Source organism: Homo sapiens, chromosome 3 (assembly GCF_000001405.40).
Source record: "Homo sapiens chromosome 3, GRCh38.p14 Primary Assembly".
NCBI lineage: Eukaryota > Metazoa > Chordata > Mammalia > Primates > Hominidae > Homo > Homo sapiens.
The window spans coordinates 159,880,425-159,907,271 of record NC_000003.12 but is presented as its reverse complement, the minus strand read 5'-3'; the positions used below and the strand labels follow the sequence as shown (position 1 = coordinate 159,907,271).

The following is a 26,847-nucleotide window of genomic DNA, read 5'->3' as shown; positions in this document are numbered from 1 at the left end:
ACACTTTCTGAAAGGAGGGCACAGTGGAAGCAGAGAGGAATAAAAGTCTAAGAAAGCAAAGGAAGGCTTTCCAGAGGAGATGGCATTTGAGCTCAAAGTAGACGAGGTCATCTTAGGAACAAAGAATGTCATAGGAAAAGTCCTGGAGGCCAAGGAGAGCTTAGGATCAACAAGGAGCTCAAATTTCTCCTGCTCAAAGAATGAAAAGGAGAGTGCCTAAAGATAGGTTGTACAGGGAGGGAAGACAGAACACAACAAGCCTTGAATATCATACGAAGCATTTGTATTTTATTCTGTGGGAGACAGGCTTTTAGGAAATTGGGCAGGGCCACGTCAAGATCAGACGTCTGCTAGAAACATTACAAGATCACTTTGGCAGCTATGTGGAGGATGGATTGAGATGATGGGATAGGACTATAAGATTAGAGACAACAGTACAGTCAGGATGCTTTCAGTCCTGACAGAAAGTCTATGTAAACTAATTCAAGCAAAATGGAGTATTATTGATGATTATTATAACAAAAATATTCAAGGGAGAAACTGGCTTCAGAGGAAATTCAAGAACTCACAGGGTATCATCAGGGCTCTTTCCTTCTCCTGCAGCATCTCTCAGCTCTGCTGCGGTCCTTGGCTTCTGTTGCGAACTCTCTCTCCTATAGTGGAAAGAGATGACTGCCAAGCTCTTATTTTCTCATTTTAGCAATCCCAGTATCCACAAACCAATTCCAGAGAAGCTTCTGATTGGCCTTGCTGGGGTTACATGCCCATTAATGAACCAATTATTAGTGGAGTGTGGTGGAATTCATGTTCTGATTAACTGCCTGGTTCATACCTGTGATAAAGGGGACAGGTCGCCAAGTCTGATGACAGTCCCAGTGTAACCACATGGGAGCTAAGGAAGAGATCCCCGAGAAAACAAGAAGAATGAGAACACGCATTGGCAACATAAAAACTGTAGTTAACACTGACCATGAGAGCAGAACTTAACTGCAATATGATAGTGAAAATATAGACAAACAAAAGATGTTTGGGGACGTATAATTGAAATCAGGACTTGGTTTTTATTCACTTGATCTTCCAAAACAAATAGATTATTGCCTTTGGCAGTTCCCTGGATGCTTCCCTGGGAGAAGATTCCAGGTGTTGGTAGACAGAGAGGGCTAAATAAATGTATAGATACATTTATAAATAAAAATAAATAAGAAAAAATTTACAAATAGATAGATGGATTTATTTACTTATGATACCTTTCCTGGTTCCCCAAAAGAATTTGAGGCAACTTAGAGAGTTGGTACAGCAAAGTAAGAGTCACATTATCCAAAGCTCTCATCCAACTTTTCATAGGTGAGCTGCAAATTTACTTCCTTGCTTCCTGGAAGCCAGCGCAAGCAGGATAATGACATGATCAGTCAAATAATTTACAATGATAATCAGAGACACTTGACTATTATTGGTATTGACATCTGAAAGGAATATCTCCCTCGGTGCTCATAAAGTTGCCGTTGTGTAATGTGGTAAATATCAGTCTGTCAGTAAATATAATAATGAGTTTTGTGGGGCTCTTTCTTAAAAGGATTTTCAGTGGTGACCAATGTCATATAGATAAAACATTGGTTAATAGAAGTAGTGTATTTTGTATAATAAATCCAGATATTTTGAAATCTTAGAAAAGCCAGGTCAGCCCAGGCCAGATAAGTTGTCAGTATTTACTTAGCAGTGAATCCCTTTTAGTCAGGGCATTTGCTCCTCATCACTCCTTATAGTCTTGCATCCAGCTTGCTTCAGTTATTTGTTTGTATTATCAGTCTGGTCCCTATATGCATTTATATTTGTGACCCATGGAAAGATGTGCATGACCAGGGTCTGTCTAGCCCTTTCCCTCTCTACACTTTTCAGCTTCCATATTAGTACACAGTGATTTCTTTTCCTCTTCCCAGCTGCTTCTGACAGTAGTTTTCTCAAATATTTCTTCCATTCTCTTTCAGTCATCTTTGAGGAAGGAGTGCTCACATTCACTCTCCTCCTGCTCTTGGCTTCAGAACCTGGAAGGTAAAGCCACTGACTTCCTGAAAACCTAGCAGCTCCATTTGCAGTGGCGTGTAAGGTCCATATGTATGGATGGCTTGCATGACTGGCCTGGAAACTGACGCCAAAGGAATTCCCATGAAAATGCTTTTGTCTTGAGCCAAGGAGCCTGGGGTAACTTTGAGTAAAGAATGACCATGACCACTTGTTTCAGAAATTTTAAGTAGCTTTGGCTACTTAAGATTTGGCTTTCATTTTCTAGTGTGATGTGAAAGAAATGCTGCTTGCCCAATTAATTGGTAGTAGAGGAAAATCCATGCAAGCACCTGAAATGAGAGTGATTTGTATGTGAACTTCCTACTTTCTTTAAAATTCAGAATTCTCAGAAGGACGAGTGAGTGCATTTGTCCCCAGCTAGCAAGTACTGATGCTCTAAAAGCATCATGTGAAGTCAAGGCAATTGGGATGTTTTACAGGAGCAGTTAACTATCTCGACAACAACTCTTTGATGATTTTATAGCCAAGAATTCTTGACAATGAGCAGAATTTAGGAAGTGACACACATGTGTGTACTTTTAAAAAAAGGAAGTAGGCATTTTGACTTTTCAGTGGATTGGAGAGGGCATTATTAATACAATATTGGCACACTGTCTGTCTATGTAAATTAGGGGACCGAACTGAAAGAAATGAGAGATTTTGCATGTTCTTACTCATATGTGGCAGCTAAAAATTTAAAAAGTTGAATTCATGGAGATAGAGTAGAATGAGGTTACAAGAGGCTGGGAAAGGTAGTGGGGAGTGGGGGACAAAGTGAGGATGGCTAATGGAGACAAAAATATAGTTAGAATGAATAAGATCTAGTATGCAGTAGCACAATAGGGTGACTACAGTTAACAATAATCTATTGTTTATTTTAAAATAATTAAGAGTGGAGCTGGAATGCTTCTAACACAAAGAAATGATAAATGCTTGAAGTGATGGATATCCCAATTACCCTGGTTTGATCATTACATATTAAATGCCATATAAAATCATTACATATATCTCATAAAGATATACAACTATTATGTACTTGTAATAATTAAAAATAAAAATAAATAAATAAGAAGGAAATAAGAATGAGACAGAGGAGACCGGAAATACAATTTAGATTCAAAACCAAGATGAATTAGCTAGGACTCTTTCTTGTAAGGAGCAAATGAACAACACATTTCAAAGGTGGCCAAAAAAGTATAATTCAAAACTTTCGTGTTTTATTGTTTATTGTTGACTGTGCCCCTTCTCTCCAAACCACATTCATTTATTTACACTTTTTGCATTATTCTTGCTTACGTGTTTGTGGGAAGGTAGCCCCCCAGATCAGCTTGGGAAGTAAGGGAACCTAAAAAGAAGTTTGTAGTTCAGGCTCAGCAGCTCATGCCTATAATCCCAGCACTTTGGGAGGTTGAGGCAGGAGGATTGCTTTAAGCCTGGATACCAGCCTCAGCTACAAAGTGAGACCTCATCTCTACAAAAAATTAAGAAAAAAACTTAGCCAAGCATAGTGGCATGTGCCTATAGTCCTGGCTACCTGGGAGGCTGAGGCAAGAGAATCACTTAAGCCCAGGAGTTCAAAGCTGCAGTGAGCTGTGATCATGCCACTGCATTCCAGCCTAGGCGACAGAGCAAGACACTGTATCTAAAAAAAAAAAAAAGTTTTTATATATTCACATATTGCCCCCTAATTCATTAAACCTCAGGTATTTAGCCCCTTCAAAGCTGCCGCTGACAAATGCCCTGTAAGCCTTAGCACACATGGGGTGGGCCTGGCTCTGAGCTTCACTGGGTCCCACTGTAGTGCCTGAAGAATGTCCTCACAGGAAACTGAAGATTGGTGACAGACGGGCCTGTCAGTGGCTCTAGTTTTTACTCTCATGGAAGCAAAACCCACCAGGCACTTTTTTGGCTAATGGGTTCAAGGCACCAAAATGCATTTAGAGGTGTTGGCCGTGGCAAGGGCTGCAGTGGCGCTGCCAAGTTCTGCAGATGCTGTCCCAGGTCCCCCTGGCCTCTCACTGAGCAGCTCTCCCATTCCTCAGTCCTCATGTTCAGCCAGGTTTCCTCTCCTGCTCTTATGCTGTCGCCCTGAAGGCCCAGCGCTCTCACTTGCAGTGTGGTGAGACTGGTTTGCAAACTCCAAAAAGCCCCATGTCTGTCTTACTCCCACTCTTAGTTTAGCCAGAACTGCAGGGAGATAGATTTATTACTCCCATACAAACATCCCCACACCTAATTATTCTTCCTGAAGCATTCATTACTTCCCTTAAAAAATTACTTAGAGCACCCGACTGGTGTTCTATTCTCAATCTGATTTGCATCAGAGACAATGACACATTCTCAAGTCAGCCTTCTTGAGCAGCAGGGACAAGAGTCCTTCACTTTGATGGAAGGAGGAAGTGGATGCTTTCTGATAAATAGTGAAGCCCTTTCTCCCCAGTGCCTGTAAAGGTCAACATCATTTTCACCTTGAACCCTCACCTCGAAATTGCTCTCAAGGTGAAGTATGGATTCCTGGCTGACTTTCACATGCCCTAATACATGGGGATGTTATGTGACCTAAAAAACTCCTGCACAAGGTGAGATGACACGTCATTACAGACTGTAATTTCTACTGCGAACTAACACACATCTGGAAGGAAGTAACTTTATGAGGCAGAAAATTAAAGCACTCACTTCCAGCTTTGCCTATGCTTTACCACAGTCAGAATACACACCACTATTTTCTGAAAAGCCAAAAAAGCAAATAAGGTATTGATTGAATATAAAAGAAAAGAGAATTTGGTAGTAAATAATAAACAAGAAAGTTTGAATGCCTAGTCTGGAGGGTGAAAATAAAATCACTTTCCCCATAAGTATCACTTTACTACCTTGTACTCTTGTACTGTGGTGCAGGGAAGTGGATTCAGTCGTTTTTAAAACAAGGACTGTGTTACAACCATAGGCAGAACATTGTTCTAGAACAGAGAAATGTACAAAAAGAAGTTTGCTACAAAAAAGAATTTCTTATGACCAATTAGTCTTGGTGAATCATTTCTTTCCAAAGCTACCAAATGAAATGGCTTTAGGATACTCACTCAGAAATTAAAAGGACATTTTCATTTTGCACAGCCAGAACATTAATTCATGAATTATTTAATATAATGTTAATTTATACTGACAACTGACTATAAGCCTCAATTAAAATATCCTGAAAAACTCATTACCCATCAACCTATCTCATAATGAATGTGTCACATCCTATTTAGAAAAAATAAATGAAGACCAGTGCAAATGGTAATTGTATATTGTATTTTGTAAGCATCAGAATTCAGCTGGTGTGGCAGTAATCAAAGTGTGGTCTTAAAGATCATAGAAACTAAGACTTTTCCAGCTAGACACCAAATAGGTTCTTGTTGTCACTTAACAATATTTGTGTTTCTGGCATCATCATAAATTCCATATTCTTGTTTCTGGCATGAATTGTTTGTTCATGACAAATCTCATTTTGATCAACTTCTGATTTCTGTCCTAATGGCTAAAGGAAAAGACAGAGCAGAGGAAAAGATTTAAACTAAACTGAAGAGGTCCATTAACTGATAAAAGGGTCAATCTCTGACCTAGAGATGATTTTCTATAGAAAAGAAGCAGTGTGGCATGGTGGTTAAGAACACAGGGTTTGTCTAACTGGGTCTGTGTTTCAGCTCTTTCTTAAAAGATTATGGCTGTCCTTGTTAAGGACTTGCATTAGTTAGTGTAATGTTAGCTGTTGTAACAGATTCAATGCAGTATAAAGGCACAAATGTAATCATAGTTTATTTTAATCATCTTTTTTTTTCCAGTTTGAGGTGAATCCTACTGGATGGCAGGTAACTCTCTCCATGCAGTGAGTCAGGGACCCAGACTTTTTCCATCTGGTGGCTCTGCATCCCTCTAGGTTCTTGTGATTGTAGCTGGTACAAGGAGAAAGAGAATGGAGAGGGCAAACCCTTTCTTTCAAGCCTTGGCTAGAATTAAGGCACTTCACATCCACTGACATTCCATTGGTAAAAATGTGTCATGGGATCACATCTAGGCCAAGGGGCAGGGGGCTGGGAATGTCTCTCTCTAGCCATTTCCCAATAACAATTTCAAAACTATAAACATGGTGGAGAGGCATGAGTTTTAGCAGATTGGTGGCTAAAAGGGCTGTTTATTAGAGATGACAAATTCTGTGGAAGGAAATTTTTCAGATCTTAGATTTGTGGGTAACTGAGGGATTTAAAAAAAAATCGACCAGTCGTGGGGGATTAAACCTGAGAACAGTGAGATTAAATCTGAAGGAAAGTCAGTCCCAGGGGCTCATCCCTCAGCTAAGAGGAGAGGCATTATACATCAGAAGAGTAGAGTGACACCAGTTAACAGAGGCGTCAAAAGGCAGAGTCCTAATGATTAGAGCTTCTCATTGGGCCAATCTTCAAGGGAGGACTGTCCGCTTGGTTCTGTGCTTGGGGCTACAGTTACAAGGGTGGCTGAAGTTTGCCTCTACCCTCAAAGAGGAAATAGAGAAAAATCTGTACTCCGGAGGCAGAGGGGAGTTTTTGGAGGCTCAAAGAGTGTGTGTGTGTGTGTGTGTGTGTGTGTGTGTGTGAGAGAGAGAGAGAGAGAGAGAGGCTCTAGTTGAAGATGAAAATGTGTTGGTGTGGTCCTCCGATTTCATTGCAAGGAATCAAACTTCTCTGCAATGGCCCCTCCTGGTCTTCCTACCTACCTTAATTAGCTCTCTGTACTCTGAAGTATTTAAGCAGTACCAAGGAATGGTTAAAGAAAAAGTGAGGTAATCACAGAATAAAAGGTATAAATAGATGTTAAGTACAAGCATAATTACTGGATCACTGTTTCTGGTGGCAGAAATCTGAAAAGATTCTTAATGTCCATCATTAAAGGGAATGGCTGAATAAGGTATGTTCCACCAACACTGGGGATTACTACAAAGCTATTAAAAAGAATGACTGGGCGGGTCGCGGTGGCTCACGCCTGTAATCTCAGCACTTTGGGAAGCCGAGGTGGGCAGATTACCTAAGGTCAGGAGTTCAAGACCAGCCTGGCCAACATGGCAAAACCCTGTCTCTACTAAAAATACAAAAATTAGCCGGGTGTGGTGGCACACACCTGTAATTCCAGCTACTAGGGAGGCTGAGGCAGGAGAATCGCTTGAACCTGGGAGGCGGAGGTTGCACTGAGCTGAGATTGTGCCACTGCACTCCAGCCTAGGCGAGAGAGAGAGACTCTGTCTCAAAAAAAAAAGAAAAGAAAAGAATGACTTTGATCTGTACGTCCTGACCTGGAAGGATGTCTATGGATAAAGTAAGCTACAGAGATCCTACCTTTGTATAGACAAATGGAAATATAAAACCCCATGCATGTGTATCTGTGTAAGCATAGAGAGATGTGTTAGAATGCATTCCAAGTTTTAGCACTTATTTGGAGGAGGGAGTGGGACTTGCAATTATTAACTTTTTACTTAAGCATCACTGTTTTGTAAATTAATAATTAATAAACAGGGAACAAAACTACAAGGATGCCTTAAATCTCAGAAACTGGTAAATTCAGAATTTTCCCACCACCTGAGCTCTGATAATTTACTTTTTATTCAACATTTATTTATTCAGTGTTTCCTGGGTGTCAGGTGCCTTTATAAACATTATTCAGTCTTTAGAATAATCTGAGGAGATGGTATTTACAGGTGATGAGATAAGACACAGACAGCTTTAGGAACTTGCTCAGGGTCAAATCTGTGGGAAGATGGAGTAAGCATTTGTGGTCAGTCCCTTCTGGCCCCAGAGCCTGCACACTTTCATCCACACCTCACTCTCTAAAAATGGGGAAGAGAAGCGGAACTTGATTTTTGAGGTTAGTCTAGCATTCTAAGCCTGATTAACTAGTAAAGGTCCTAGTTTACATGTGGAAGGATGATCTAGAGCAGGTAAGAATCCTGTTGGTTATAATCCCAGTCCTTGCTGACAAGCCTAAGCAAAAATACTGGAAAGACTCAATCTTGAAAGAATCCCCTTAGAGAGTCACTTGGTGACATTTCTACCACGGGCAGAGAAGGCTGAAAGGAACACCAGGAAATTGAATATAACTCTCCTCTGAGTATCTCAGGGCATGGTGGGAAGAACAGTTGTACTATTAGCTAGGCTTTGACCCAGAGGTATTCTGAGAGGCCCTTTGTGGGTATAATCTCATTTTCTCTCTTTTCTTCTCCAGTTGGGAGCTATTCGGTTACGATTATGGGCTTCAAACAATTAGAAGAGCTTAGAGGCCATGAATTTCTTCACAACATGCATTTCTAGCCAGAGACTGCATGGCTTAAGACACAGAGAAAACACATTTCTAAATTTTTACCGGAACTGGCAGTTCTGGCAAGGATTTTAAAATGTAAGTCTTTTGTGGTGGGCTGAGTTTTAGCGCCAGGGCTCCAGGTTGTGAGAGTCACCACAGGAAGTTCAGAAGGCCACACTACCTTCTCTTGCTTGGACACAGGCATTTTCCATAGCACTCTTTCCAGCTGTGCTCTCCCCACAGATTGCAAACTAATAGGAATATTATATTTTTTAATCAGAATAAAATTAGATACTTAGAAACATGGTTTAATAAAGCTAAAGAAAAGAAGAAAGTGGAAGGCAATGGTTCTCAACATTAAAATCTCCTGGAGACCTTTAAATGTCTCAATGCCCAGGCTACACCCCAGACCATTTAAGTCAGTCCATGGGGGTGGAACCCAGGCACCAGTGGCTTCTGAAGCTCTCCAGGTGGTTCCACTGTGCAGCTAGAGACAAGAGCCACTGGCTCACTGACCAACATTCTCACCCAGTAGAAGCAGTGACGATGGTCCAGCAGCTGTGCTTGGATTCACAGGGCTGGGATCACCCCAGGAGATCCCTGACAGCTGGTGTGGGAATTCAGGGCTCAGTTAGAGACCTTTGGGCAGAGAGGATTTAGGGCCCCACTCTTTAGCTCAGTAGTGAGCAGCAAGCTGTCCTCAACAGCCAACTCACAAAAACCAAAATATATTTACGATCTGTGTTCTTTTTCTATTCTGAATGGAAATAACTTGTTTGAGGCCCATAAAAAATAACTAGTGTTACAATTTAAGATTACCTATTTTGCTAAACAGAAGGCCGTCTAGGAACACTAGCAAATCTTTTTAATACTTTAGAATACTTATCTGAGTATTTTTGAGAAAGGAAAATGGAGACAGTTCTCTATCTTCAGATTACATCATGGACCTTGGAGTGAAACCAGGTGGTTTGTGGGTGGCTCTGGAATGTTGAATTGTTCATCTTTGCTTTAGTTTATGGTTCCCTAATCACTACATGAACATTAGCTAATTAAATCTATTTTCTGAAACTCTCCACTTATTAAGAAACAGTCTGTAATCTGCTTTAGACTTGGAATCTTCTTTCATGAGACCAACAGAATGGCTAAAAATTTGAAAATAGCAACAATTGGCCTTGGAGAAAGAGTAAGTGTAAACATCATTTGTTCACGTGGTGAATTTACTAAATGGAGTTTGATACAATCATAGTGCCCTAACAAGACCAGCAGCTATTAAATACTAAAGTGCTAAAATTCCAGATGAATCTCTTTAAGCAATAATAGAAGTGCAGGCTCTGATGCTACTGACCTTTGGTGTTCTTCGGATCACTCTCTCACACACACATACTCACAGACACGCACTCACGCTCATAATTTTCTGGGCAATTTGCCACTTGTGTGTCCTCTGGAGCAATTTGTTTTTTCACTGATAAAAGTTTCCTGGTGGGGAATTTAGTTGCAGAAGGGTTAAGCCAGTATAAGCCTTGTTAGTGAGCAAAAAGACATATGATATGAAACAAAGTTTTAATTTTTATTTTACATATTTATACATAAAACTTTCAAGGAACCCTCTGAATCCAACAGAATGTTAATAGCACATCTAAAAAGGAACTTCAGGTAGTCAACATTCACAAAATGTTGAAAACTGAGTAAAATATACATATTACGGAGAGCTACAACTTCACTACGAGGCAGGCATGTATTTTTTGACTTGTATAGCACCGTCATTTACAGTTCTTCTTTAAAACTACAGTGAAGAATGAAAAGTAGTCAATGGGAAAATACTGTTCCAACTTAAAATCTCTAAACAAATAAAAATAAAGTTAAAACTACTCTCTTTTATTAACCATGATTTGTGGTGGTGTCAGTACTGTACATTTTTTGTAACAATATTTTATTAAAATGCCTGATATTAAGTGGCACAAGTAAAAAATTAAAATAAATTAAGAAGCAAAGGCCAATCACTGGACATTAAGCTTCAGACATTATCAATGACTAACACTGATATTTGTTTCTGCGCCACCTTTAGCAACAGCATTTTTACAACCACAGAAGCAAAATAAATTCTAGCTTGTTCTCTGGTTGAATGGCTTCTTTTCACTTTGCAGGCATTTTCTCTGCCATGTGCTTCTGCTGACTTTCAGCATGTCTGTAAAACAATTAATACAATTATTTAGCATCATGTAGAGAGATCCAAACTGCTTTTCAATCAATAGCTACAGCATCCTGCAAACTGAAGTTCAGAGTTACTGACAGTGAAATAGATTAGAATCAAGAAAAAGTACCTTATTCAAACTCTTTGAACTCTGATTTGAACTCTTTAATTTTTACATATTGTGTATGATTCCTTTTATTTAGTAAGCCACTGGATGAATCTGAGACTTTTAGACATTACTACTTTTAAGAAGAAAAGTTCTGTTTGAAAATGAAAATAAATAAACATCTGGGATACTTTTATCAACAAATATTAAATATGTGTCTTCCATGGGTATTTGATGGTGAGCAAGACAGTGAGGTCTCTGTTCTCATGGGGAATATGAGACAAGAAAGGAATAAATAGCAAATAAGGAAATAACAGATGGAAATAAGCACGAAGCCAAAAGTCGAAACATGGTATTATGATAAGAGTAACTGAGTGACTACTTTATCTAAAGACCCATGCAGACACAGACCTAGATATTAACTAAGACTCCTGACAGAAACCTGGAGCCAAAAATCTAATTCACTCCTGCAAAAGCCAATGTCTAACAAATGGCAGGTCTTTGTGGATGTAAAGATATTCCACGTTTGCATGTTTTTCCCCCCAATTAATCCTAAGGGCATGGTCTTGGCAGTGAGGATAGGGTGAGTCTTCTTATTTATAAAGCTCTATTATGGGCCAGGTCCAGTGGCTCACGCCTGTAATTCCAGCACTCTGGGAGGCTGAGGCTGGTGGATCACCTGAGGTCAGGAGTTTGAGACCAGCCTGGCCAACATGGCAAAACCCTGCCTTTACTAAAAATACAAAAATTAGCTGGGCATGGTGGTGTGCGCCTGTAATCCCAGCTATTCAGGAGGCTGAGGCAGGAAAATTGCTTGAACCCGGGAGGTGGAGGTTCCAGTGAGCCAAGATCATGCCATTGCACTCCAGCCTGGGTGACAAGAGTGAAACTCTGTCTCAAAGAACAAACAAACAAACAAACAACCAAAACCAAAAACAAGCTCTATTATGACCTGTGAACCCAAAAATAGGCCAGTGAAGCAGCTAGACAGTGGGGCAGAGGTAGACAGTGGGGCAGAGGGGGAGGAGTGTGGCCAAGCTGTTGACATCACTTGAATGGTCACTTCTCAGAGAATGATGGGGTTTGAAGGCTGCAAAAGACAATGGTTTTAAAGGACGATTTTAGGAAATGATAAATTTGGCAAGATAAAAACATCTAGGGCTGTGGTTTCCAGCTATAATCAAACGTTTAGGAATAGTTTGTGTGTGCTGCCTGGACTTGGGTAGTCAGTGATGTCAAGTTGAACTCACTGGTTTTATGCAGAATGTGTCATATCAGGGAAGACAAACTACAAATACTTTCAGAAACAGGGGAGTGACAACAGTGTCCTTGCTACACTCAGCAGCCCATAAATAAATGGAACTATTCAACTAACAATAAAGGTACTCAGGAAAAAGTACCTTATCGATAGCTCTCCATTCCTTAAAAAATCTGTCCCCTTTAGCAGACCATCTTATAGCCCTGTTGATGTGTAACAAGAATCAAACATTTTCGTGACTAACTCATATGCCTCACTTAAGCAAATCCAGATCAAGATATTTTGATGCCCAGTGAACTTGATTCCACTGTAGCTAATTACAGTTCTCACAGTAATTTTTAAAATATACTACTATGTACATGCTCATGCACACACACTCCTATGCACATGCACGCACATACATCAAAAGGTTTTCTGAGAAGGAAAGAAGAGCAGATGGCACACAACTTCAGAAAATATTGAAAGCTGGGTAATTTTTTGAGACATAAATAAAATAGTGAATTTCATTAAAATTTTAAACAAAGGAGGGAAAGGGTTTCAGTCCATAAAACTAAAAGGTTCTTATCAGCAAGTTATATAAGAGTCCCTATTAGGATTTGTTTCACTGAAGCCCCACCAAAACTCTTTTTTTTTTTTTTTTAAAACAACAATTGCTATTGAGGGCTTACAATGTGCCTGGCAGGCCCTGTGCTAGGCTCTGGGGACACAGTAAAGAATGAAAATGACATCACCTCTGTTTTCAGGGAATTCATAGTCACGTTGGGAGAGACAGCAGACAAATAAAACACAGTGCCACTAGGCTCCACATGACAGAGATGCGATGTTGTTAGGAACACTGAGGAGAAGGTCTTAACACAGTCTTATGATCGAAAGCAGGTCACATAATTGCTGGTGCTGTTTTGTAGACCCACGACATGGCTGTTCATGTTCTGGAAACATGCCAGCATGGAATGACCCTGACACACCAGGGTCAACTCCCTTGGGAACAGTCCTGATTTACATGGAGGTGTAATAAGTTTAATGCACTGACAGTCCATATAAGGGGAGAATGAATGCTAAAGAGCCAAGTGTTTGGAGGTCAGGGAGGGCTTCTCCAAAGAAGCATCATCCAAACCTGTGGTTCTCAAATTTGGCTGTGCGTGAGAATTATCTCAGAGCTTTAAAAAAATTCTCATGCCCACGCTAGCCCACAAGGATAATTAAATAAGAATATCTGGGGTAGGATCCAGGCATCACTATTTTATAAGCCTCCCCACATGGTTCTGTTGTGCAACCCAAATTGAGAACTACTGATTTGAATGGACATCTGGAATAGTAGGAGTTGTACAGGTAAAGGGAAGAGGTGGACCACATGTCCCAGCAGTCCCCACAGCCACCCCCTCCGCCTTCTGAGATCTGGCTGCAGGACTCTGGGGCTGCTGCCTTTAGGGATGTTTAAGTATCCTCAGGTCCCTCCAATGAGGAAAGTTACTTTTCTGCAGCCAAGAGCAGATGTAGAAGCTTCTTCCCACCAAGAGGCAGGCTAGGCAAGGACATCATGCCCCTGGGGCCCATGGTAGGACTGCTCCAATTCAAAGAATGCCTCCAACACCTTTAAATTAGTGACTCCTCTCCTTTTAACTCCATGGTTTTGCCTGCCCTGTTTCCGATGGTCACACCATCTGAAAGTTATAAAAACATACACTGCAAACCTAAGTATTAGCCTAACACTTAGAGAGAAGAGGAGGGGCCTCTTCTTCTTGCCAAAAAAGAAATGACAATACTATTCTGAGAGACAGAGAAAAGATCTCTGCTGTCACAGGTAAATCATAGTTTACAAGAATTTATATATTTTTTTAAAAAAATGTAGGCCCTGATTGTATATTTCACCACCGATTTCCCATAATCTTAACACCTGCATGCAAACTTCTTAAACTAACAAAAAAGGGATGTTTTATAATTGCTGGTGGTGTAGTGCCTGAATACATCTTTAGATGGCAATAATATTATTTGAGTGTTATTGTGATATTTCAGATGCAGGCAAATATGTTCAAAGAGTATGAGAAGGCTTACTGTTTTGTTTTGTTTTTGGCTAGGGATAAGGCAATATAATATGTAAAACATACAAAACAGTGCTGCCCGTAAGTCTTAAAAAAGAAAGCTTAAACATATTTTTCCAGCATTTATTTTGCTACCAAAACTATTTTTTATATCATTGCAGCATTAGACAATTATTTTACCCAGCATTACACATTGAGATGAGGTCTATGGTAGGTGCTGGGAGCATTATTATCACTACATATGTTTTCGAGCTTCTCTGGGATTGTTGTAGACCATGTGGTTAACTCCTTACATCATTGTGCCAAGAGGTGTTCCTTCTTTGGAGAGCCTTCTACTCTCTAAATACTGTTTCTGGGATTAATAGCAATTACTGTCTGTTGGTTTAAAGATTCCATATGGACTGTCTCAGAAAAGATGCCATAGTAAATATGTGCTCATAGGAATGTTTACAGTATTCCAGGTACTTTATATACTTACAGTGACATGCTTTCCTGCAAGGAAATCTACAAAGAAGTGCAAAATTTTGACCAGCATTAGCCTAGTTTCCTTGTCCCCTAGGGAGGGAAGCATTCTTTTTACCTCTTTACAAAGAGGCAGTTGGAGCAAAGCCCAGCTAAAAACTCAAGTCCTGGAGTTTCCCCATGGTGAGAACAATCTGGTGGCACTGTGGCTGTAGAGAGATGCCAGTGTCCCTGCCTTCTGGGCATGGCAGAGGCGATCAAGAACTGGATCATACAAGAGCTTGTGCTTTGGAGAACTCATCACATGGCTGCTTGTGCTGGAAACATGCCAGCATGACATGGCTTATGCCCAGCTTCCCAGGGGACAGTCCTTCAAGGTAAAGTCCTCCAAAACCAGAACTAGACCTGATTTAGGCGGAGATGTGAGAAGTAATGCACTGACAATTCATCACAAGGGGGGGATGGTTGCTAAAAAGCATGCATTTGGTAAGGACAATGGAATTCTGCTTCCCCTCCATCTGAACAGCTGGCACCAGAAAAGGCTAGGTGAGTTATTTATGGAAGTAGAGGAAGAAGTTCTCTTGAGCTAGTTTTTGCCTAATTCTTAGATTTCAGACCACCCTGGGCTTTTCTTCTTTGGCAAGAGTGAAGCCACACTGACCTGGTCAAGTCTTCAATGTCCACCAGCATGGCATCCTGCTCTGTGTGCAGCTCATCTCGGATGAGAAGCAGCTGGACCAACTCTTCATTCAAGCCTGTGGCAAATAACAGAACATTTAAAAACAGATAAAACTGCCTCCAAGTCAGAATGTAAACTAGTTACCAACCAGTATACACACAAACAGCTACCCATAATAGGAAAGATATTTTTGTAAAAGGTTAGACATCGTATGTTGCAGAAACGTGTCTAGTTTGCATAATTATAGAGGTGTGGGAAGAAAAGGAGTAAAGTACGAACTATTTCCAATTACCTTCATATTAAGGTGGGAAAAGAAATTGTTAGCTGTTAGGAGAACAGCTTGTTAGAAAAAGCAGGTTTTGTTTTGAAGAAAAAATGTGAACAGCAAAGCCTGGAGCACATTAAGTTTTCCACCCTTCAGCTTCAGGGTGCTCCTGCCACGCTGACAGTCAGGAGGGGCCCCTCGGAGCCTGACTACTACATTAGATGCCCAGCTGAAAAGGAAGGTATGTCAGGGATGCTCAATGCCTTCACATGGCCCTAGGAAAGGAGAAGCCCTATGTGCAGATTGTTTTAGGAGAAAGTATTATCTGAAGATATTGGAAAGTCAGATTTGTAATATAGTTAGATGTGCAAGACCTGAAGAAATAACCCCTGAAATTTCTAAACAACAGGGTGCCAAGGAAAATATTACTTAAGACTTATACCAGGAATGAAATCTATAGAGACAGAAATCTTTCTTCCCTCCCTCCCTCGCTCCCTTCCTCCCTCCCTCCCTTCCTTCCTTCCTTTTTCTTTTTTTGAAACGGAATCTCACTCTGCCGCCCAGGCTGGAGTGCAGTGGCACGATCTCGGCTCATTGCAACCTCCACCTCCCGGGTTCGAGTGATTCTACTGCCTCAGCCTTCCGAGTAGCTGGAACTACGGGCATGTGCCACCAAGCCTGGCTAATTTTTTGTATTTTTAGTAGAGACAGGGTTTTGCCTTGTTAGCCAGGATGGTCTTGATCTCCTGACCTCGTGATCTGCCCGCCTCGGCCTCCCAAAGTGCTGGGATTACAGGTGTGAGCCACTGCACCTGGGCCCGAAATATATCTAATCTTCCTGAAATCAGTGCACTGGGTTAATTGGGCTCCTGCCACTGAAAAACATGAACAAGCAAAGGCTCTCTCTTGCTTTTTCCCTCAGAGAAGCTAAGCATTACAGCTGCTAGGCCCAGACACATGGAAGAGAGTACCCATTTAGCAAGAGCTCTGGGCAGGGAAACAAAAGATAGAATGGGGGTGATCAGACAGGTCCCCCTTGGAAATGCTTTTAGATATCCTGACTTCAAATGATGCATTTATCTGCCTTTAGGTCAAACTAGTTTCCATTTTTAAAAAGAGAGCCCCCCAAAAAAAAAAATCACACAAAGAGGTCTAAAATTTCATCTATTCCTGAAAAGGACTAGATGGCAATTTCAGTGTTTAAAAGTCTAAGGAAGATGTTTTAGTGGTAAAATATCAGAAAGTGCTTTTAGTCCTTGAAAGAATAGCAACTCTAGTAATTAATTTTCAACTAAAATTAAAATGCAGTTGTAGAATTTTTTTAAAAAATCCTGTGAATCTATGGTTTCTTAATCAAAATGTTTGACCCTTTCTCTTAATTTTAAAACAATATTCAATGTGTTAACTTGGCACTGAATATGTCCAATTTTTTTTATTTGGATCTTGTGGAAAAATTTCATTTTTTCCAGTGTGCTCTTGTGTAGCCTTTTATACTGTCACTTAGTAGAGTGTCTACATATCTGAACCCTTAATGCATAGAATTGTTTTTCCAATATGAAGTTTTAAGCTTTTTATTATGGAAAATTTTCAAACTGCTACAAAAGCAGAGAAAACAGTTTAATGAATTTCCATGTATCCAACTAGCTTCAACAATTATCAACTCATGGCCAAGCTTGAATCATTTCTCTCTCCGACTTCTACTGGATTATTTTAAAGCAAATTCCAGCTATCACATTATTTTATCTGTAAATGCTTCAGTAGGTATCTCTAAAAGACAGAGGCTTTTCTTTTCTTTCTTTCTTTTTTTTTTTTTGAGATGGTGTCTCGCTCTGTCACCCAGGCTGGAGTGCAGTGGCGAGATCTCGGCTCACTGCAAGCTCCGCCTCCCGGGTTCACGCCATTCTCCTGCCTCAGCCTCCCGAGTAGCTGGACTACAGGTGCCCACCACCATGCCCAGCTAATTTTTTGTATTTTTAATAGAGATGGGGTTTCACCATGTTAGCCAGGATGGTCTCGATCTCCTGACCTCGTGATCTGCCCACCTCGGCCTCCCAAAGTGCTGGGATCACAGGCATGAGCCACCGCGCCCGGCCAGCTTTTCTTTTTTAAATTCACATAACTGCAACACCTTTATCACACCTAAAATAAATCAATCCTTACTAAAACATTCAGTTAGTATTCACATTTCCCTGTTTGGCTCATAAATGCTCTTTTCTTTTTATAGTTGGTTTGAATGCATTTGTTTGGCATATCTCTTGAATTTCTTTTAATCTGTAATACCGTATAATTATACAGACTCATTCCTCCCAGGAGCTGAAGAGATTGTGAATTTATCGGCTTAACCACACTGCCTAAGTGAGAATGTTCTCTCTTTCATCAGGACAAGCAACTAACTGCCTATTCTCTGCATGACCAATCACCTTGAGTGAGCACCACTCACCACTCCCTGTGGCCACTTCTGTTAGAGGTCTTTCTTTATTCTGGGAAGAAAAGTCTGTATTTTGTCACCCTGTAATTTTCACATATTGGTTCCACATACTCCACCACCTGGAGTCCTAGGAAATGTGTCTAATTTGATTTTATTGATGATGATGATACCTACGATGAATGTGTATACAACTAAAGTAGAAAGTATACTTGTATAGCAAATGACTTGTAACTACTGAACTGTGTTCCAGAAACAGGTGTTGTAAGTCAGGTACATGCACTGTGCTAGGAGCTGGGGATTTAAAATAAATAGAAGGGACCTATAACTATTGTGAATCTTGAAAAATTCTTAAAGCTTCTGAACATTTTACAGCTAAAACAACAGCAACAAAAAAGAGCCTTGTGATTCTCTTATTTTCCTTGCAATCACACAGGAACCCAATGAAATGTTGTATGAAAAAGTTGGACCAAGGAAGCAGCATTATCCCATAATGTTTTACATTGAATATCCTATTTTCAAGCATATCTTACACTTACTTTCTATCTGGGAATGGAGATCATTGACTATCACTTGTAGCTGCCCAATAGTCATGTCTCTCAGGTCGGTGGGTTTTAAACTTCTTTTCATCAAGCATTCACTTATATGAGGCATGTGTGGCAGCTGAAGATACAAAGGAGAAGAAATGGAGGAGTGAACAGAGCCACAAACACACTGAACGTTAAGACCCAGTTTTCTCTTAAAAGACCCACTCACCCACCCACTGCAATTCAGTGATTAAAAGCTTTCCCAGTCTGTGTCTTTCCCAATGTGGGGCCCTACATCCACACTACATTACCTAATATGCAACTGGCATCAAAACACAACACTACCAGCATCAAAAGCTTTTTGACTCGTCTTTAATATGGGTTGTGAGTCAATGTTATAGCCACAAATGAATTATCAAGGAACATCAATAATATCAATGACATGGAAAAAATTAGTATCAGCTACTATTTAATAATTTATACCATGCTACAAGCACTGTGCTATGTGCTTTGAATACTTTATCTCACTGAATCCTCACAATCATACTCTGACACAGGCATTATCATCCCCATTTTATAGATGAGAAAACTGAGACTTAAGTAACTTGCTTAGAACTTCATAGCAGGTCAATGGCAGAGCTAGACTTAAACTCCAAAGTCCAGGACTCCTATTCACTATGTGATATTGTCTTTATTGAAATATGAGAATGACAATTATAGCAATAGTAAGTTTGCCAAGACCAATAGGTTCTTAGATTGAGATCGCTTCAAAGGAATTTAAATATTCCCGTGGCAGCTAATATTGTTGCTAAGAAACAGTAGACATCAATCAACAGCAAACTTTACTTTTGTGAAATCTATTGCTTCTGTATTTTTCAGTCCTACAGTAGGAAGGAAAAAGAAACAAACTTAATCATTTCTCAATGACAGGACTTTTTACAAACCGCCTTAGAGAAACACAAGTTTGCATAATTCTGGGAAAGGACTGGGACAGTGTCAACCATTTCTGGCTCCCAAACACTTCCTTGCATTTCAGCCTTTGCTGCTTACAAGATCAGCGACGGGAGACTTTTTCCTGTTCTGTTTCTCCACTTCTACTTGCATTTTGGCCATTGGTTTGGCCATGGCAAGGGCCATTTTGGCTTCAGCTTGCAATTTCTTTTGCCTTGTAAGGAAGTCCATGTCATCCAAGGATTCAGACTCCTCTTCAGTAGTGTCTCTATCAGAATAGGAAGAACTCTGTTTGCTCTGCAAAGGGAAAAAGAGCAGCCTGAGCCTTCCATGCATGCCAGCTAGCATCCACTTAGAGATGGGCTACAACATCCTCTGAGCCTTCTCTCAGAGCAGCTCAGAGTTCCCTCCCTCAATGTGACTTGCTACTTGAGTTGATAAATCTCAAGTAACAGAAAAAGGGTCTAGTTTAAAATAGATTTTAGCATAAACAGAGAGAGCAGTATAGTTAATAATGGGAAATATATTTACAACAACCTTGAAATATGTCTTTGATTCTTGGCCTCAAAACTTTCCTGAAGTGAACAGACATAACAAAATATTGACTCGAAGCCAAGGCCCTACGTAGGTTCTTTGCGTGGACAGGATCTCATGTATCCAGTGATGTTCTGATGTCGCACTGCACTCAACGACAACAGTTTCCTCTTTGTTGGTCTTTGGTAAAAAAGGCTATAGACAGACCTCACAGAGAGGAAAGAATTCCAGCAACAGGCACCCATGATTATTCAGCCAACTTCTGTAATGGGAAGGAAAGACATGAGCTAATATTTCTAAGCCCAATAGGGAAGAACTGGATTTAGCTTATTTTCTCTTTATAATTTTTAGAGCATATCTAATTTCTCTCTCTCTCTCTGATATGGTTTGGCTGTGTACCCACCCAAATCTCATCCTGAATTGTAACTCCCACAATTCCCATGTGTCGTGGCAGGAACCCAGTGGGAGGTAATTGAATTATGGGGGTGGGTCTTTCCTGTACTGTTCTTGTGATAGTGAATGAGTCTCACCAGATATGATGGTTTTAAAAATGTAAGACGTGACTTGCTCCTCCTTGCCTTCCGCCATGATTGCAAGGCCTCATTAGCCATGTGGAACTGTAAGTCCATTAAACCTCTTTCTTTTGTAAATTGCCCAGTCTTGGATATGTCTTTATCGGCAACATGAAAATGAACTAATACACTCTCTCTCGTTAGAGACAGGGTCTCACTATGTTGCCCCGGCTGGAGTGCAGAGGTGTCATCATAGCTCACTGCAGCCTTGAACTCCTGGGCTCAGCTGATCCTCCCGCCTCAGCCTCCTGAGTAGCTGGGACTATAGGCACCATGATCAGCTAATGTTTGTATTTTTTTATAGAGACAGGGTTTTGCCATGTTGCCCAGGCTGGTGATTTCTCTAATGGTTTAATATGAAAATAGTTATTAACTTTAAGAAAGCTTATATATCTCTATTTTATTACAACTTTGACTTTTTAATCATTGTCAAATTTTAGGAGCATGCAATTCCAAGAAACTTTTCTTCTTTAATCTCTGAAATGTTTGTTCCTGATTCACCTTACAACAGAAAAGAAGCTAAATGGCCCGGAAATCACAACACCGAGCTTCAGCTGGTGCTGTTTGGACTCACCATGGGAGACAAGGGGGTGTCCAAGCTGGTTTCAGTCTTACTGTCATCAGCATCACTGTCCTTATCACTGCCACTGTCGTTGACAAAGCATATCTGCAAGTTCATCCCACTCTGCAGTCTGGGCAGAAACAAACAGGACACTAGTTCTACTTAGCTGTTTGTTATTTGGCTTCAGCCAATAGAACTGTCTGATTTTGCTAACAGAAAGTAGTCTTATGTGTTCTTCACATGGAGAAATGAGCAACCAATATTACTCTCCACATATAAATAACTCTTAGTAGAGGATTTTCCAATGTTCTGTGAGTTTTTTCCTCGCCAGTTTCATGGTAAGTGAAAAATAATTTAAGGCCCCATGTTAGAGCACCCAGCACAATACCAAACAGATAGTTGGTGCACAATAAAAATGTGTTGAGTCTTTGAGTTTACAGTCCTGTCAATCAAGATGAATGGGGTCCTCGGGCAAATAAGGCTGCGTGGTGTCATCTAGAGAACCCGTCCCAGGGGGACAATCAAAGACTCTCTCACTGGAGCCAGCATCCCAAGGCCACAGCTCTCTGAAGAAAGACTCCTTTTCTCCCAAATAGACAGAATAGGGTCATCTGAAGGAAATCTTTAAGGCAGTTGCCAAAAGCCAACCAAGGGAGCTCATTTATATCATTAAGGAAGGAAAACACCACAGGTTCACACTTAAAAAAATGTAAGGAAGCCCCAAACCCAGGCAGTAAGGTGCAGCCTTAGAACACAGCAAGGTTCTGCAGACCACCTCCTGCACACAGAACCTCAGGGACAGAGACCTTTGGGAAGCCATTATATGTGTGGTGAATCCTGAAGCTCCAGGGCTGATGTTTTTGGAAGCACAGTCACAAAGGGTAACCTGGCCGTGTAGCTGCCACTCGCAGGCCAGGCTGCACAGCCAACTTTTTGTTCTAACCTTCTTTTGAAGTTGAACACATTTCAATACTGTTTGGTGATAAAGCATTTTTAAAGAAGTAGTTTTCCTAGCATCTCTAGTAGCCCCAGTCTCTGTGTAAGCTTAGGGAAAGAAAAGGCAAAAGGAGGTTCCTACGCAAGAAAAGATCCCAAGGAAGCTGACCTAAGCCAGGTTTAGGGCAGAGGATGCTGAATTTCTCTGGCATTATTACTGCCATAGGAAGAAATGCCAAGAACAACTTACCTGAGATTTGACTTTTCAATTCCAATGGTAGGAATGCTTTGTAGAAATTGATCAGATCACTCATTTAAAGTGATTCTTTTATTGAAAACAACACAGAACCCAGAAAAAGAAAATCTGATTTAACACGGGAACCATAATTGTTATGGGTATGCACTGCCACCTATTGTTAAATTCTGTAATTACTGAAAATCCCAGCTTACAACCCCTGTAAGAAAATGCAGCCATTCCCTCAATCTGCCCAGCTCTATTTGCTCCCTACCCTCATGGCACAGGCAAGGGGGAGCCAGGCCCAGAACTAGGGGTTAGAAAGCAACACACCCCACTCTGATCATCTGAAGATGCTTGGAGTGAGCTGAACTTAGGTTCTGAATCCTTACTTCTTTCTCCAGGCACATTACAAAAGCTCTATGACCCTCAGTTTTCCTCATCGATAAAATGGGTTGAATAGTAGCAAACCCAGTGTTATGCAGGAAGGATTAAAATAGTTCATTCAGAGCTTAGTGCAGGGCAAGTGACCTGTACATGTGAGTTGCTCTCCATTCTCTATTTACTGAAAGTCTAAACAAAAGGAACAGAATTTTAGAGGTGAAATGACTCTCTAAAGTCACTTACTCTAATACTGCTTGTCCTGTCACAATAATCCCTGATGTAGAATCAACTCTCTGAGACAACACATGGTCTATTAGGCAGTTTGTTCTTCTACTGAGCTGGGATTTGCCACCTTTTTACTTTTATCCATTGGATATACATACATACATAAACACACACACACACACACACACACACACACACACACACACAGACACAGACACACATATATATTTTTTTCCTGGAGAAATCTAATATGTTCAGGTTACCCTTTGATTCCATGCAGGTTTAGAAATTTTAATGTCTGTCGGTCTAAAAAAATAAAATCAACCCCCTTTTAATAATAATACTCAAGTTCTATGGATTGGAAGATGGTGGGAAAAAAGCTGTTAGCAAATTAAAAACAGACACATTTTAAAGACAAACCCTAATTTGAATCTAGGATTATGTAGCATTTTCTATTTATTGAATAAAGTCTTGAGAAGAAGGGTCTGGCTACTGGATACACAGATTATAAAAATGTAAAATAACCCGCAATACAAAACACAAAGCAAAATAAAGTTTACAATGTCCAGATATATGTATTTTCACTCAGAAGAAAGTCTGATCATAAATTCTGTTGTTCTGCGGCCACGCTGACTTCTTTTTGAAGGATTAACCCAGACTTAAACATCCCATATAGTCTAACTCAGGAAAGGAAAGAAAAAAAAAAGTTGGGGGAGATTTAGTAGTCTGCGTAAAATCAAAAAACGCCGCAGGTAGAAATTCAGAAAATCGCCTTAGTACCACATTATCCCCATAGGAAACTGAAGAGAGCTTCTTATAGGGTGAGACATAATTCCTTATAGTGGTAATCACCAAGAATGTTACTCTCAGGAAAAGGAAATTATATGACATAACAGCTAATGGTTCAGAGGGGATTTTAGTAAAGACATCTTAAAACGAGCTCAGGTTTCAAGAAGGATTTGTTTGCTTTTAGCCTTTAAGCGGGTTTTAAGATGAAGTCAGCTCTCGGTGAAACTCAACCACAGCTCCCAAGCAGCCTGAATGGATGAGTGGGGCCACCTGGTGCTGCTGAAGGCCTCTGTGCCCAGGGTGGAAGAACAGATAACCCCTGTTCCAGGACCCTGCCCACCCTGGGAGACATGGCTGTTCTTGAGGCTCACATCTGAAAACCACAGTTCCCCGGGCCTCTGTCCCTCACACTGCAGTGCATCTGGCTGCCCTCATAACCAGTCTTGCAAAATTCAGGCTGCAGGGTGCCTAATTTACCTAGATCTCTCAAGCACAGTCTGAGGTGAAAACAGAACACGATCCTCATCTTGTTAATTAGAGATATAATTTCAAGGTATCCAATTCAAGGTTACTTGATGTTTCAAGTGGCATTTAGCAGAGCACTGTACAAAGGCTGCTGGAAGTCAGCCTTGCCTGTCGATTTCATTTCTGAAAGGTCTGTCTTGGTTATCCCAGAAAGCTCTTCTCCCTTACACACCACAAGGCAATTAAAAACAACGCTGCTGCCCGGAGCTACTGGCAGGGAGCACCAGGGGTCTGGAAAGAAAGTGTCCTTGACGGAGAATGCCCGGAAACATGGAGAGATAAAGACTAAGTATGTCTTCTGGACATCTCAGTGTGAGCAGGAGTGGCCTCAGTGTGACAGTGCCTACTGGCCAGGAGCAGGAGGGCACTTGGTCGGGAGGCTGCACAGCAACCACGTCTGCTTGGCATTTATAGTGAGGAAGGCTGTTATTTAGAAAACACTGGTGCTGACTTCCAACTACTGTTACCAGGGATACTATTAAAATATGCACAGGAGTTGAGAGGATGGCAGAGACGAAAAGTTTTTAAGTATGAATAGAATATCTCAAAAACTCAGCCAAGTGGTAATATGATTTTATATAAAGGTAACATTTCTTTCAAAATACAGGGACAAGAGCAGTTTATTCCCTGAGAGAAACAATGTCATGGCCCTAAAGTTTGCTGGTGACTTCTAGAGGAGCAGTGGTCATTATGAATTGGGCCTTTGTTCTTGGCTTTGGGTTGTAGTGACCGGGATTGGGCTGGTCTGAGGCCAGCTCTGAAGCCTGGAACTACTTGCTTTTTTCTTGATTTTCTACTTGCTTTTCTACTTGATTTTAGGAATGGGAATCTCCCAGCACCTGCTTAGACCACTAGTATCTACGTATAAATGTTCAAGATTCATTGGTAAGATTTTTATCCCCCTGTCCACAGCACTTTGGTTCACTTTACTTGAACTGTTGCATTGAATTTTAAAGTATGTTCACTTACATTCTCTCCCGGGGCTGTATAATCACCTGTGGATTACAGGCAAGATATAGTTACTCAGAGAAGTCAAATGACTTGCCACAGACCTGTGACAACCTCTTTATAAAAATGATCTCAATTCTTCCTCTCCTTATACCCATCTCCTCTGTAATGTGACCCTGCAGCTTCTCCCATTGAGAAGTGGAGTCTATTTCCCTAGCCCTGGGCTGGCCTTGGAACTTGTCTTTGCCAGTAGAATGCAGAGGAAGTGATGGTATTCCAGTTTCCCCCTCAGGGAGCCCTGCCACCACCCTCAGAACAGGTCCAGGCTAGCCTGCTGGCGGTGTAACTTCGTAGCACAGAGCTCAACCGGCAGTTGTCTCAACTGAAGCCCTAGACACGTGTGAGAGCCCAGCCACCTCGCTGACCGGAGATGACTGAATAAGCCTGTCCAAGCCCAGCTCAGAACAGAACCACCCAGCTGACCTATAGGATCCTAAGGAGAAGCAAAACTTCATCATCGTATGCTACTGACGTGGATGGCTTTTTAAAAAAATTACGCATCATCATTGTGGCAATAGGTAACTGGTACAGGGTCACGAAGCAAGAGGCTACAGGCTGGACTTCTGATTTTAGAATCCAGTGGCCTTTCCCTTATACTACACTTAACATGAGGTTTGAATTTATTAGATCCTTTCTGTATCTGGCAATATAATTTTAAAGGAAATATGCCTCCTATACTTGCTTATAATTTTAAGGCAATTGTATGGCTTTCCTTAGGAAACAGAATGAAAGGGAATGTCCCATATGCCAGGGACTTCGAACATGCATTGCTCATTATCTGCCTACAACCAGTGTGGCTCGAGAGCCATTGGTCCTGCTATGCCATTCATTACTCAATATCCCCAACTAGTTTGTGGCTGGGTCATTAAAATACATTATTTCCATTTATTTTAAAGGATCTTTGATGCATGATTCAAAGATTTTATATATAATGAATAATTGCCTATATTTTTATACTATATCTTTTTCTGTTTCATGAGAATTTCAAAAGTGATGAAACATAAAATATGGATTGTAACTACTCAAGTATCTAAAAACACATTTCATTTTTCTGAGAATCTGTCATGAAGAAACAATGTGAGAACAATTGAGGTTTGGGTAAGCTTTAGATGTACTGCACGTGTGATGGTGTCGCTATAAAATGTGTTCAGTTAGGTTAAAATGAAGTACTGCTACTCCTTGTAAATTGTAAAATAGTTTTCCCATCCGGCAAACTCTGCTCCTTTCCCTTCTTTTCCCTACTGACTGTTCCAGTTTGATATTTACCTTGAGTTACAGAAATGCCTATTACTACTTAAAAACACAAAAAAAGAAACAAAAGGAAAAGTTTCTGCCTCACAATATTTGTTATGAAAATACAATGCTATATTTTAGCAAATAATGCTGGTCCAACAAAAATCATCACACACACACAATGACTATAAATGATTTTTATAACTACATAAGGTAGAGAAAAAAGAGTTACATGTTCATGCACACATTCATTCATTCATTCATTCATTGATGATCAGGCAATAATAGTTCTGTAAATTTCATGGCACCAATAGGCTGGTGCTGAGTAGCTGCTGTCCCCGTCAGCCAGGGCACACACTTTCTAGTTTGCTGCAGTCCCCAGTATTCTCTATTGCTTTTTATCTGCACTACTTCACTCACTTATGTTTCTTTTTGGCTCCTGAGGGCATTTTATGGTTCACGACCCCTACATTAAGTGATGCAAATAAAAACTAGGTCTTCTAACAGATATCAAGTGCTTGGATCATTAAGTCACAATGTATAAATAGAAATGTGGAATACACAGAGCATTGGAAGG

General features: G+C 40.6%; 2 protein-coding genes across 36 annotated transcripts in view; both read right to left on the bottom strand.

Moving 5' to 3' along the window:
• Positions 1-9,912: 9,912 nt before the first annotated feature.
• The window catches only part of IQCJ-SCHIP1 (IQCJ-SCHIP1 readthrough), an 828,041-nt gene continuing 811,106 nt past the window's right edge, over positions 9,913-26,847 (bottom strand). For all 4 annotated transcript variants that reach the window (NM_001197113.2, NM_001414413.1, NM_001197114.2 and 1 more), the window contains 5 exons: positions 20,948-21,065; positions 19,367-19,564; positions 18,329-18,452; positions 15,082-15,175; positions 9,913-10,549 (listed from right to left, as the gene is read on the bottom strand). In NM_001197113.2, the coding sequence (NP_001184042.1) occupies positions 10,498-10,549; positions 15,082-15,175; positions 18,329-18,452; positions 19,367-19,564; positions 20,948-21,065 (586 nt within the window). In that variant the 3' untranslated portion in view covers positions 9,913-10,497. The remainder of the gene's footprint in view (positions 10,550-15,081; positions 15,176-18,328; positions 18,453-19,366; positions 19,565-20,947; positions 21,066-26,847) is intronic.
• SCHIP1 (schwannomin interacting protein 1) overlaps positions 9,913-26,847 on the bottom strand; it is a 624,116-nt gene continuing 607,181 nt past the window's right edge. For 25 of the 32 annotated variants that reach the window (NM_014575.4, NM_001197107.2, NM_001197108.2 and 22 more), the window contains 5 exons: positions 20,948-21,065; positions 19,367-19,564; positions 18,329-18,452; positions 15,082-15,175; positions 9,913-10,549 (listed from right to left, as the gene is read on the bottom strand). In NM_014575.4, coding sequence (NP_055390.1) covers positions 10,498-10,549; positions 15,082-15,175; positions 18,329-18,452; positions 19,367-19,564; positions 20,948-21,065 — 586 coding nt within the window. In that variant the 3' untranslated portion in view covers positions 9,913-10,497. Of the gene's footprint in view, positions 10,550-15,077; positions 15,176-18,328; positions 18,453-19,366; positions 19,565-19,804; positions 20,064-20,947; positions 21,066-26,847 lie in introns of all 32 variants that reach the window. The other 7 variants (NM_001394293.1, NM_001414426.1, NM_001394296.1 and 4 more) reach the window with 4 other exon arrangements.